The 14,534-nt window shown below is 38.3% G+C and overlaps 1 protein-coding gene across 5 annotated transcripts in view; it reads left to right on the top strand.

Moving 5' to 3' along the window:
• The window catches only part of CNTN3 (contactin 3), a 352,092-nt gene that overhangs the window by 305,931 nt on the left and 31,627 nt on the right, over nucleotides 1–14,534 (top strand). For all 5 annotated transcript variants that reach the window (NM_020872.3, NM_001393376.1, XM_011533768.3 and 2 more), the window contains 6 exons: nucleotides 5,922–6,039; nucleotides 6,924–7,082; nucleotides 7,182–7,331; nucleotides 8,791–8,861; nucleotides 10,538–10,772; nucleotides 13,493–13,608. In NM_020872.3, the coding sequence (NP_065923.1) occupies nucleotides 5,922–6,039; nucleotides 6,924–7,082; nucleotides 7,182–7,331; nucleotides 8,791–8,861; nucleotides 10,538–10,772; nucleotides 13,493–13,608 (849 nt within the window). The remainder of the gene's footprint in view (nucleotides 1–5,921; nucleotides 6,040–6,923; nucleotides 7,083–7,181; nucleotides 7,332–8,790; nucleotides 8,862–10,537; nucleotides 10,773–13,492; nucleotides 13,609–14,534) is intronic.

Raw genomic sequence — 14,534 nt, 5'->3', positions numbered from 1 at the left:
AGTGTAGAAAACACTGGGTTAAGATTGCTGGGACAGCAGACTAGGCATCCTGAGATCACCAATTCTTACTCCATCAAAATCAACACATCGCACTGGCCAGAAAAAAAAAAAATTCCCAAGTTGTTAATATGAACTTGATGTTGAAATTAAAAAGCAGATACCTTTGAGGCACCGTGGCACTTGACACAACCTAAAATAGGCATGAAGTGCCTTCAACCAAGTTTTTGTGATCTTTGATGTGTCACTCTTTTAAAACACTTATGATGGAACAAGCTGGGACTCAAAATCCTGTAATGGAGCAATTATTCCAGTTTATTGGTACCCAAGAAAGTCAAGCAAATTTTGATATTAACTGATTGCATCTTACCTGTCTTAAATATCACCTGTTCAGACAACCATGTGACAGTTGAAACTGGTAATCAGTCAGAAAAATTAAAACTGTTTACAATGTTAGGGCCTGTTTTCATGTTTCAGTGACTGCCAATTCTTTCTGCTTTTTGGATGAGCAGCGTACATTAGTAATGAAGGTGAACTTGATGCAGCCATTTGGCATTGGTGGGGGCAAGGTTTAATCTGTGTAGTCAAAAATGCAGAGGTGGGCCGTGTCACCACCTGTTCCTTCCGGGAGTCTTACAGAGGAAAACGCCAACCAGGTTCCAGAAGGAACTTACAGGTTCGACTGTTTTCAAGGCACCTGGAGATGATTTACATGTAATGTCAGGGTTTGGAAGGCAACCCAGTGAAGGAATGAATGATTAATATTGGAAGCACTGCAATAACAGGCTGTGTAAAGTCATAAAAAAAGAGGACTGCTTACTCAACCTCGGTTCCAAATAGCCATCAAAATGTAATTTTTTTTCTTAAACTGGAAAATTATGCTTCTTTTACATTGAGATTGCTTACTAGCGAATTCATTATTTGCTTATAATTTATTATACTGAAAGTTTGTACAATATTTGCAAGGTTCAAGAGGTTCCCCTAATTCCGAAGTTTATTTTAAACCTTGATTTTAGCATGTGGTAGATATCACAATGTATTTTCAGCCTACCTGTAATTAGTGATGATCTTTCTGCTTGTTTATTTTTATCTGGTATGGGTTATCAAATCAGGTAGTGTTTTCTTTCTTTAGTGCAGAGTGGTTTTTAAATTACATCAAAAATTCCATTAGTGTCATCATCTAAGAAAATACAGGGGAAAAGTTAATCATATCCTCTCCTATTTCATTTGATACACACTGGCTTTTCCCTTAGCATTTATTTCAAGGATGCTTTGGCTTACAAATCCATTTACTGTTAATACTTGTAACATATTATGGAAATATGATTTGTTTTTTCCTAAGACAAACCTGTGTGATTAGATGGACAAATAATTGACTAATAAAGTAATCCTAGCTAAGTTTAGTAGATATTGTAAAACTACAAAAAAGAAAAAATATTACTGTCATTAAGATGTAAATATGAACTTGAAGTCAGCTACAGTGAACTTTTTATTTTCTGGGGACAGATTAACTATTTGTGGATTAACTCTACCCCTGACATCCCTATCCCCTGTCCACCCCATTCAGCTCTCCTTCTTGAGTTACTCAAATAAACCGTGTTCTTACCTACCTTAGGTCTTTGCACATGCCTAAGTACCCTAGTGTAGTTTATTTTTTTACCCACTTTTCCTGGACAACTTCTGCTCATATGTTAAATCTTAGCTCAAATGAGCAGTTCACTGAAACCCCAAAAAGTTCTAGATTCCCCCAATGTACTTTGGGTTTACATTACATTATAATTTTACATTGATTTGTGTAGTCATTTCATTAATGCCTGTCTTCCAACTCTATGCCCTATGAACATAAGGACTGTTTCTTTTTTCTTGCCTTCAGCATCGTATTCCCAGCAACTAAAGTAGAATAGTTACTTTATAAACAGTTTTTAAATGAATGATCTTATTTTTAATAAGTGGTGCTTTGAAAAAGGAACTCAATTTGTATGACTTAGAGGATCATATCCTACTTCTTACACTCCTACGTAAGATACTGGAATAGACTTCTCTCACTTCCAAAAACTCCTTTCCTGAGTAAATTGTGGACAGCAGCATAGAAAAAAAGATGTGCTTTCTGGAAAACAGAATTACACTAGTGGGCTTTGAGGGGAAGTTTTGAGCAAAATAGAGATATGAGGAGAAGAAAATAAAGCTATGAATTTGCACCTTCTCAATTCTGGTCCCTTCCTGCTTGAGGAGGTGGGGAAAAAGGAAGTTTAGGAAAATAATGCAAACAAAGACAAACTAATTTAACAGATAAGCTATTTTTTATTCAAAGTATTATTAGTGTTTCTAAGAATTTGTCCAAAGATGGTTAGTGTTGTGTTACTTGAATTATTTTATACTCTAAAGAATGGCAAATATGTTTCTTATTATTTCTAAATATTAGATGCAAGTTTATTTATAAATATGGTAAATAATCCATCTAGGACTATTTCATCCCATTTCAACTAATTTTACCGAGTTTCTTTTTTTTTTTTTTTTGGACATTTCTCTCTCACATCCTTTATCACATTTAATTCATGACTAACTATATTCTCTAACAATGACAAATTGATGGGGGAAAGAATTAGTTTGACATAAGTGAAACTTCCTTTTGGAGTTTCTTTTACCTTTTTTTTCTTAAATGCCTGGGAATACTCAATTGCATCTTGATAAGAAATGTTAAGATATGCTAATAACATTTTAATTTAATTACTATTATTAAATGTTTAATTCCCATGAAAGAAGTTGGAGTTTGGAATTACAGTCATGTTACTTGACTTCTCCCATCTATGACCCTATTGAAAGCTGAGCATTTAGGGGTATAGTTGTGCATAATCATAACTGCATTTTGGTAAGCATTGCATTCTACCAAGAAATGAACAAGTCATAAGAGGATAGCCCAATTCATTTTCACAAAATGAGCACATTCAAGTGACCAGCACTGAAAACAGAAACAGAAGATGACCCGCATCCTAGATGTCCTCATGGTGCTTCATCCCAAAACTACCATACCTCCAAAGGTAGCCACAATCCAGCCTTCTCATATGATCGGTCATGATCAAATACTCCTTTCCATCTGGTTCATATCCTTCACGCTTTTGAAACTCAACCATGTTGATCTGTGTAGTTGCAGTTCATTCATTTTTGTGGCCTAATAGCATTTTGTTAAATGATTATTCCACTACCTGTTTGTCCATTCTACTGTTACAGGGTTGTTTCTATTTTTAGCTATTATGGATAATAATTATAAACATTCTTGTAAAAAATGTCTTTTGGTAGACAGCTGCATGCCATTCTGTAGGGCATATACTTAGGAATGGAATTGATGGGTCATAAATTATATGTATGTCCTGCCTTCGTAGATGCTTCTAAACAATTGTCCAGAGTAATTGTACCAATCTACACTCCTTTCAGCAATAAGAGTTCCAGTTCCACATCTTCAGCAGAACTTGGAAGTGTCTGTCTCTTTCATTTTGCCGTCGTCTACACATGGCATATGCCATGTGATTTTATTTAACCTTTGTGGATTACACTTTCTAAATTTGTAAACATAACTTGTTTCACATGTTTACACCACCTTTTACCCTGACTTGAGTTTACATCCTAGAAAGCATGGGCCATGTGTTAAACACTTCTGTGTCCTTGAATGAATCTAACATAGCAAGCAATGGATGCGCTTTTGTTAAGATAAATCTTGTCTCTATGTAGTACTCCCTTAAAAGATCATAGAGTGGGAGAGAGATAGCATTAGAAGAGGAATAATACAAATATATTTTATTAATGGAGACAAAAAATAAGGAGAGGATCTCTCTTATTCTCTGTCAAATTGTGTTCTCCTTTTATGTATTCATACACTCAATTCCATGTTGGGGCTGAAAAAAAATCATTTCCAATTCTACTTGTTTTAGTTAATTGCTTCCTTTTTCTACTGTGCAGTGTAAAAGGATAATTAAAAATTATATTTCCCCTGACTACATTTCTTTAGGAAGATGGCTTCATTTTTTATGATGCAGCTATTTGTCTTCACCTGTCAGTGCCAAGAGTGAACAGAAGTCAAAAGTCCACCACCAAACTTTTCCTTACTCCTTCAAGAAACAAAGCCAGCCATTGTGCCTAAAAGGTGTATCCAGATATGTGAGGACATAAAATCCTGACACAGTTCTCTTTTACCCAGATGCCTTCAAAATAAGCAAATAAAGGTTGGCAAGAATAACAACCTTACCCCAATGCCTTAGATGGCATTTAATAGTAACAGTTTTTCACCGAAAATGAGAGATTTCCATAGAAGTGATAATCAACCTCCTATGAATATATGAAGCTCGTAAGACCTAAGAGTTTCTAAAGGTCAGCAAGCATTAAAGGTTTTTGTCCTGGGGATACATTTCTAAATAACCCTAGGAGAAGGAGAGGGAGAGAGGGAAAGAAAAAAGTTTTAACTTGATGAAAGTAAAACATGCAAGCTTAACAGTTTCTGGATTATCATTTAATTACAACTATCAATCATTTCCCATCTGTCTTCTTCCAGTTCTCACAAATTTCATGTAAAACTATGCAATACAACTAACAGAGAACATGCAACCCATTAAGAATCCTAAAGATGGGAAGCAATATTTAAGAAATTACCCTATGGAAGATTTTAGGAAATTACCTAAAAATAGGATAGTAGAATTCATCTTACAATATATACTACAAAAATTCAAGACTAAAACTTTTCTTTTAATTAAGATAAACGCTACTTATTGCTTCTTTCTCTTTACCAGTTCTGACATGAACTGATGATCATTTTCCAAGGGCTTTGGTTTCGAAATCATATGACTTATTACAAGTCATATTTTTACTAATGTGTGAAACTGGCTTGCAGTTAGTCATTTTATTAACACAATTTTACATGCTCTTAAAATGAGGTCCATTTAACATTGAGCTTTTAGAAATATAATTGCTCTGTTAATTAGCTCTTGGGAATGCCAGCAAATGTCTTTAAGGACAGCTGTTATTATTATTTATTTTTTGGAGGCGGAGACAGAGTCTTGCCTGTCAGCCAAGCTGGAGTGCAGTGGTGTGATCTTGATCTCGGCTCACTGCAACCTCCACCTCCCAAGTTCAAGTGATTCTCGTGCCTTGGCCTCCCAAATAGGTGAGATTACAGGGGCACGCCACCACACCCAGCTAATTTTTGTATTTTTAGTAGAGATGGGGTTTCACCATATTGGCCGGGCTGGTCTCAAACTCCTGACCTCAAATGATCTACCCACCTCAGCCTCCCAAAATGCTGGGATTACAGACTTGAGCCACCGTGCCCGGCTAGCTGTTATTTTTAAGGTTTAAAATGTTTTAATTTCTTCTTATTGAGGGGTTCATGCTTTCATGCTTACTGTCCCTAACTTCTGCAGCCAAGGAATTAAACAGCTTTAGGCTTTTTAAGCTCCAGTGTGTTCAGAAAAGTGTTTCAACCATGGTAATCCGCTTGTCATGCTGCATTTATCTCCCACTAGATACCCACATGTGTCCCTCTTCTTCTCAGGCAGATAATTGCAAAGGGGTTGGAACCAGAGAAAAGAGTTGAGCTGGTGCTGAGCAGTGGATATAAAAAGAAGTGTCACCCTGGTGCAAGTAAATAGACTCTGAGACTGTAATCTCTGCCCTTATTTATTTTTGAAACCATAAATGCCCAGGAGGAAGCTTGTTGTTTATTTGGCTACAGAAATCTTTGACTGCAGTCATGTATGGTTTTTAACTTGTTTATATTTCCATACATTCCATTGTAGCAATCTACTCTCTTATACCACCTTGGTTTGCTCCCTAAATATAGTTTTCATTGCAATGTTGTTGTTTTTGGCCATAGACTTCAAACTTCTTTGTGTTTTTTAAAAAAATAACAGTGTATTCATTACCTGTTTTCCCAACAGAGTTCATCTGGTGATTTAATGATCAGAAACATTCAGCTGAAACACAGTGGGAAATATGTTTGTATGGTGCAAACGGGGGTGGACAGTGTTTCATCTGCTGCTGACCTCATAGTAAGAGGTAAAACATTTATGCCCCCTTGAGTTTGTCACTTCACATCTTAACAGCATTCCTTACTGGAGGAAAAACCATGATGAGATAGTATGTGAGCATACGAGTTATAATATTGATTTCATCCCCCCTCATAGACCACAGAATATGACAATAGGGGTGAGTGCTAATTCAAAGAAATAAAAATCTCAACTCTGCCCTTCAAATAGCTCTCACTGTAATTGGCATTCCACAGCTGCTGCCAAGCTGATGTGTTCTTGAGCATGTCATTAATTCAGTGATTGTATTTAATTTGAGAGAGAATATTGTGCAGTGTGTTTGCTTCCAAAATAATCAGGATTTGGGAATAATTGTATGCAGGACATTTTTCTAAAAATACAAAAAAAGTATCAGGATTATTCAGAATGACTGAGAAAATTTGCCAACCTGAGCTGCTGCCCAGGATACTGATTTGCTACTGGGCTGAAAAATGACCAGAGTGTGTCATAAAATAAAACACATCTAGATATCAGATTGGGAACTACAGAGATACACCAGTGGATTAAAGGGAAAGGCATCACACCAGGAGCAGAGGACATTGAATTTAGAAAGGTACAGGAATCCTGCTGAACAGAGGCTTTTAAAAGTGAATATCATCTGCAATCAGAGAGTATTATGGTTTGGGAATTACTGCCTCACATCCAAATTTAAGATCTAACAACAGAAATGCGGGGAGGGAGAGTAGAGGGAAGTAGTTGTTCTATTACCAGGTAAATGGCCTTTTCCCTAAGTGCTTCTGAAATTGGGAAAAGTCAGAGATATTGAAGTGGTCATGTGACATTCTCTTCTCTTTGATAGGAGAGGATGACATTTATGGAACTGCTACTCAATGTTTCCATTTGTGCCTTCCTTAGGTTCACCTGGACCACCAGAAAATGTGAAGGTAGATGAAATTACAGACACAACAGCCCAACTCTCTTGGAAAGAAGGTAAAGACAACCATAGCCCAGTTATATCCTATTCTATCCAGGCTCGGACACCTTTCTCCGTGGGTTGGCAAACCGTCACAACAGGTAAAGCAGGAGAGGCAGATGTCATCTGCACACATATAAATGGATTTCAAGTCAATGCTAAAGCAGGCAGACTCTTACCTCTGAAATATTCCTTTGTAGTGCCTGAGGTCATCGATGGGAAGACGCACACAGCCACTGTAGTTGAGTTAAACCCATGGGTGGAATATGAATTTCGGGTTGTAGCCAGTAACAAAATTGGAGGTGGAGAACCAAGTTTACCCTCAGAAAAAGTAAGAACTGAAGAGGCAGGTTAGTGTTTTTTTTTCTGAGTAATGGATTAATAGATTTCTGTGTACTTCCATTTCCCTTGGCCCTGAACTCCAGGCCAGCAGGGGGTCAGCCTCAATAATCCATTGTTGCAGTTATCTAACCTTTCTAATGGCAGAACTGGCCATATGGCATTTGTCAAAAGAAACACATGTAAGTGACTCTGATGTAGTATGACATTTCCAAGAGTTCAGTCCATTGTAAATGATCATTAGTGCATGTGAGTGAATATGCTTTTGTCACTTAAGGTTATAATTACTGTCTGACATAGTTACCCTGTTAACAAGGGAAGTGCTGTTTTCATTTATAACAAGCATTGGCAAATTGGTAGGATAATGACATTTGGGAGTTCTGCTGCTAGGAAATCTCATTTTGCCACCAAGCTTAGTGAAGGAGCTTAAGCAATTGATGAATAGGTATATTTTGTCACTTCAAGTGTTGAATTAAGAAAAAATCATTGATAGGAATTTCCATGTGAGACAACTATTCACATAGACCATAAGACTGCTTTTATTATTCTAGAAATATCCTAGCATTAAAACTCAAACTAGAAAGTGTACATAGCATCACATTATAGGGACAATTGAGACCTAAAGATTGCCTTTTCAGAATCTGTAATATTATTTAATATTAACTAAAATGAAGTTTGAAATAGAGCTGGTGTATCACTTTAGGAACTCAGCTAAGATGGAAGTCATCAAATATGTTTCAGTAATTTTCATGATGCTGTTTCACTCAGAACAATGCACATAATGTTTATGCTAGGAAATATGAGAAATAGAGGAACTGTGCTTGCCCTGGTGTTCTGGTCATTTGTTCACACAACACATATTTTAGGGAGCATCCTCTCTGTGCTCAGCACTTTCTAGACATTGCAAGTACAGCTGTGACCATACCAAAGACCCACCTTCATGGGACTTCTATTCTAGCTGTGTCATGGGGTTCACTAAGCCTAGAGTTCTCAGTGTGAGAATCTGATGCCCCTGTGAAGTTTATAAATAATACCTCAAAACAAGATTCGAGGGTTTGAGTCTGGGTCATCCTTACATATAGCCAATGTTGTTCTCAGAATTATATTCTACTTGGAATAGTCACAAGCTAAACATTCATGCTGGATTGATTTCCCATCATCTCCAGTGAATCACTTTTTCTTGTTTTAAGTCTCATACTAGCAAAGTATCTTCCAACTTGGTCATGTTTTTATTACTGTTTGAGAGATTTTGAATTTTTTTATGATTTCATGTAAATATGTTGTTTGATGATCTCATAAAAATATATAAATGCATATAATATATAAGTATATGTACATAAACACCCATATGTATGAATCATGTGCCAATGATGAAATTATTTTAAATATTAAAAAAACATTGCATTATCTTTTAGATAAATATTACTAAATGCAAGTACCATTTCATCTCTGTTTCTCTGACCTGTATAGTTCCAGAAGTGCCTCCTTCTGAAGTCAATGGAGGAGGCGGAAGCCGGTCTGAACTTGTGATAACCTGGGATGTAAGTGTTTGGGCAGCATCTTCCCCATCAGGGTCTTGCTGTTCCCATGATCATTATGGCTTCCCAGGTGGTGGTGCCAATGGTGCAGGTGGTGGTGGTAGTGCTGGGGGTGTGGCTGGTGGGTGCTGCTGCTGCTGGTGGTAATATAGGTGGTGATGGTGGGATTAGTGGTAGTGGGGCTGGTGGTGGTGGTTGTAGCCCTAGTAGCTAATATTTTTTGATACTTTCTCTGAGCCATCCACTATTCCCAGCATTTAGCATGTATTTTCCTCATGTCATCCTTGCAACAATTTACAGATGAAAATACTCAGGCTCAGATATAAGAAATAATTTGCTCAGGGTCACCTGGTTGGTAGACATAGAGATGAGTTATGTTGCGGCTGTTGCCCCTCAAGCTCCCCTTATGACTTTCCAAGCAGCTGTGCAGCCCCCACTGGTGAAGTCACCTATTCCAACAGGTGCTTGAGTTTGTTTCTTTCCTGGCCATTCTCCCAGCCATTGGTTTACATCATCAGTAGGAAAAAGGTTAATAGGTTTGAAGTCAAAAAGTACTAGAATTACCTGCATTTTTTGAAGATGCTGATGATGTGTCAACAAAATTTTTGACACGACTCAAGTATAGCTTTGAGTTTAATTCGTTAATATTTTTTTCCTTTTTTTTTGAGACAGTCTTGCTCTGTTGCCCAGTCTGGAGTGCAGTGGTGCAATCTTGGCTCACTGCAACCTCCACCTCCTGGGTTCAAGTGATTCTCCCACCTCAACCTCCCCAAATAGCTAGAATTACAGGCATGCGCCACCATGCGTGGGTAATTTTTGTATTTTTAGTAGAGACGGAGTTTTGCTATGTTGGCCAGGCTGCTCTCAAACTCCTAACCTCAAATGATCGAGGTGCCTTGGCCTCCCAAAGTGCTAGAGTTACAGGGATGTAATTCATTAATTTATAAATTAGTATTTACTTCCCTTTTTTTTTTTTTTTTTCCTTGATGGAGTCTCTCTCTGTCACCCAGGAGTGGCGTGATATCGGCTCATTGCAATCTCCACCTCACAGATTCAAGCAATTCTCCTGCCTCAGCCTCCCGAGTAGCTGGGACTACAGGCGCATGCCACCACGCCCGGCTAATTTTTGTATTTTTAGTAGAGACAAGGTTTCACCATATTGGACAGACTGGTCTCAAACTCCTGACCTCGTGATGGCCACTTGCCTTGGCCTCCCAAAGTGCTGGGATTACAGGCGTGAGCCACCGTACCAGGCCTTTTTTTTTTTTTCCAGTTTTACTTAATTGTTCTTAATCACCATTTTAATATTTCTTCTCATAAAGTCAACATTAAGAATTAGATAATTTTTATTTGGCTTAAGAGATCAGATATTTTCAACTGAAAGTATATCTTCCTATTAGAAACTCAGACTTGAGCCATAAGATGATCAGCTAACTGAATAATCACAGAAAATTCCAGTTCATTATCTGGATGGCTATGAAATGGTGACATATGTCTGTTTAAAAGCAGCTGACATGACTCTCCTGCTGATGTTTTTCTCCTTTTTTCATGCAACTGCTTAATACAATGTAGATGATTATTTGATGACTTTTACAAATAAATGCCTGTGGATTACAGCTGCATTCATTTTTGCCTTGCCCTTATGTGTAAGGGTGATTCAGTATGTCTTTCCTTTATAGCCAGTCCCTGAAGAACTACAGAATGGTGAAGGTTTTGGGTATGTTGTTGCTTTCCGCCCTCTTGGGGTTACCACCTGGATCCAGACAGTGGTGACATCCCCTGACACCCCAAGATATGTCTTTAGGAATGAAAGCATCGTGCCATATTCACCATATGAAGTTAAAGTGGGTGTTTATAATAACAAAGGTGAAGGACCATTTAGCCCAGTGACAACAGTGTTCTCTGCAGAAGAAGGTATGGAAAACATGACTGTATATCAGTTCCGCCTAATAATAATTATTTGTGCTCCAAAAACTGATTTGGAGTCTCGTTTTGACTTCAAATATATTTATTCCAAAGAACAATCATCCAGGTAGTAGTTAGATTCCCAGTGCAAGTCATAAAGATCAATCATAAATGACTTGAAGTATAAGACTTAATGGATAGTTAGAGGATGTAACCGTGAAAGGAAAATAAAACCTCAGGACCCCAATTCACTAGGCCAAAAGGAAGAAATTAAGCTGAAAGCCAAGTCATGCAAGAAAATGCCTTTCCTTTTGTTCCTAACCAGATAGCTACAGATAAAAGGTTAAATCTCTCTACAGGTAGCTACTCCATGTTCGCCTTGCCTTATGTAAAGTGCTGATTTACTGAGCAGGAGACCTAATTGATTAGCCTCCTATCTGCTCCTTTTCCCTTGCAACATGCGGATTACCATACCCTTCCTCTTTCCACTCCAGCCCACTCTAAATATTAAAGCCCTCAGATTCACCTTTGGAAATGGACACAGACCATGTTTCTGTACACCCGTGTTTTGTTTTTTTTTTCTTCTGGGCATGTCCTTAACACCTTGATAAAATAAATCCCAAAATTGATTGAGACCTGTCTCAGATCATAACCATCAATTTAAAAATCTGTTTATGAGGAACACTTCCTACGTTCCAGCTTGTGAAGCAAGGAAAATCACAGCCTTACCTTGGGGTAATAAAAATATACCCCTTGGAGCTACCCTAGTCCTAAGTTGTATAGTGGTTCCCATGGCCTGAGAAAAGGATGTTACTGGATGAAGAGTCAGGAGCAGCGGTATCTCATTCAACAGACATGCAATGTGCAGGTTTGAGGGATATGAACCTGCTGGTGGAGATACAGACATACTTCACTCTGGACCCGTTCTGTTTCTTTGCCTTTCTTTTATACCTGTCTCAGATATTGAGACATCTACATTTTGTCTCATGACCGCTTTAGAAAATAATCAAGGTAAAAGAATTATGCAAAATTGCCATTTCATAGATCAGCAACAACTGTTGGCTATCTCATGTAGTTCTACAAAAAAAAAAAAAAATGGCAGAAACTAACATGTATTGAAGTTTTACTACTTGCCCGACATTACCTAATTTGATATTTCAAATAAAAAATATAGGCACTATTATTTCCCATTTACAAATGAGAAAATGGAAGCCTTGTGAAAGAGAGTAATAAATTTGCCAAAATTCCTAATAGTAAGTGGTACAGCCAGTATTTTAACCAAGGGCCTTTGCCCTTAACCATTCTGAGCTCACGAAATATATCAGTGTCTCCCCTACCCTCCAGACCTGACAGTAAGTTGCAAAAAGTGGCCTGCAGTTGTCATTCCTAAGAATAGTAAGTAGAGTTGATTTTTCTTCGGCTCCCCGCCCCTATTCTTGTGTTCTCACTTTTGGTTGAGTTCTGAGAGGGATTTTTTTTTTAAGGGTTATACAAGTCTTTGCAGAAGAGTCTTAAATTCATAGCCAGACCTCATTTCTAAAAGCTGCCAGGGATTGCAAGGGCAAGTCAGGGGTCTGGGGAGTGATGGCCATTATCCAGGGAGTTTTCGGACACTGTTTACCTGTGCATCCAGGACCTAGGTGCTGGCAACTGGAAAAGAGGGGCAGCCACAGCCTCTTACGCATTGTTGCCTCCCTCATTTTTCTTCTCCTCTTATCATTTTTGCTCCTGCTGCAGAGTTAGCTAAAAGTCTTTCTGTTCAAACATGAAAAATGAATCGGGCTTACCTAAGAAAGAAGCAAAAGACTTCTGTGAAATCTACTAGGGTGTCTCTGTGAATCCAAGGGAGAGTTATGCAGCAAACCTCACAAAGATCTTCAATCAGAGAAGCCCTGGAACCTCAGAAAATGGTTCTGCTCTTCTAGAGCACCTGCACTGGATCAGTGGGCTCCAAGTACTCCTCGACTCTCCAAACCAAGTTTCAAATTCTCAGGAGAGAAAATCTAAGGGGCCCAGCCTTAGACCAGGAATTCGTCTTAGCATCAAGCAAGATCCTTGTCTGAGAAGCAGGATCATTTGACAGAGAAATGCACCTGAGGGAGGGGAGATTCCTGCTCAGAGCTGGGCCCTGAGAAGGGAGAACCACTGTGAACCCCATAGAATCTCAACAGTGCTTTTTACAAAGGGGAATCTTCTTGCTATATGATAAGCCACCTGCATTTCTATCTACTCCTTCAAAAGAGCATGCCATCCACCACATTTCAGTTGTCTCTGTAGGCCTCTCTAGACAGGGTACTCACTCAGTGTTTATTGTGTAAATGAGCTTTACTTAACCTAGACCTTTGTTTGGCAAAATGAAAACTAAGTAGCGTCTGTGGGCAGAGAAGTTCCCAAGCAGTAGGAATGAGATGAAGGGAAGGAAATAAGGACAAGGTGAGGAGAAGACAGGCAAAGAAAAAGGAAGATAAGGAAGATGCCAAGAAAGAGGTGCAAGGGAGGAAAGTATAGGTTGCCACAGCTGTTTAGCAAAGAAAAGCCTTTGGCTATGATGCCATCTTTTCCTAAGAAACGGAAATGGACCAGTGTCTCTATTTTCAACATATGGTGCCAGAATATTTCATACAATTTTCAAATACGTTAAAATGCTTTTATAAAAATAAGAACATTAATCTGTGTTTTAAACTAACTGCCAAAATTATCATCATATTTCAATTTCTGTTTCCGAACAGAGCCTACAGTGGCCCCATCTCAAGTCTCTGCAAATAGCCTATCTTCCTCAGAAATTGAGGTTTCATGGAACACCATTCCTTGGAAGTTGAGCAATGGACATTTACTGGGCTATGAGGTAATTTCTTTTCCGATTAAATTGTGTATGTGTGTTACCGTGCCACTTTGTCTCCTTGAATTTAAAACCCTTAACAATGACCTCTTATTTGAAGTCTGTCTTTGGCCGAAATTTTTTTATCAACACATTGTTTCATCTGATGTTCCATGTATACTGAATTTAACCAGTTGAATGAAAATAACATTAGTTGGAGTAGAAAAGGAATAAAAAAAGAATATGAAAGGAAATCACGTATCACGTGGGCCAAATATTTTAGATGAGTTGACTAAAAAATAAGGGTGAGATTGAACTGCAGTATCAAGTTCATAGAGTACTTTCATCAACAGGAAGTCACTGTCCTCCAGCTCTTTGTCTTACTTTCTTGGTGGCTTTGTTACATTGTGGGGTTCTTTTATAGGCTCTAGAGAAGCCAGCTGTCTGTAAGATATTTTGAGCCTTCAAAGACCTCTCTGTTTAGTGAAATAGGACGAAACATCTGAAACAGAGGATAATGTAAGACCAAATATAATGAAGGTCTGACTAGGTCACCCAAAACAGGAAATGTTTGTGTTGTCAAGAAGGATGGGACATACTGAAAGTCTTCATAAGGGTAGTAAGGCTTAACAGGACTTTCAAGGCAAAGTAAGTAAAGGTGGAAGGAGTGGAAAACATTCTGGATTAGGCAAGGCATGATAGAAAAGCAGAGGAGTAGAGGCCCACCTGCCAAAGGTTCCTGTTTGGAAAGGTGACTTCAAATAGGCATGGGAGGACCAGGTCACAGGTGGCTTTAAAGGCTAAGAAGAACCATTTGAACTGGGTCCCCTATTTAGTAGTGAGCAGTTAGAGGAAACTGGGAGTAGTAGAGCTGAGAACTGGCAAGATAAATACAATTCAAAGATTTTGCCAGCAATGACATTGTGGGATTCATAGTTGTGATTTCATCCTAC

Source organism: Homo sapiens, chromosome 3 (assembly GCF_000001405.40).
Source record: "Homo sapiens chromosome 3, GRCh38.p14 Primary Assembly".
In the NCBI taxonomy this organism is placed as follows: Eukaryota; Metazoa; Chordata; class Mammalia; order Primates; family Hominidae; genus Homo; species Homo sapiens.
Note: the sequence above shows the minus strand (reverse complement) of the source record. Positions and strands in the feature narration are given on the sequence as shown.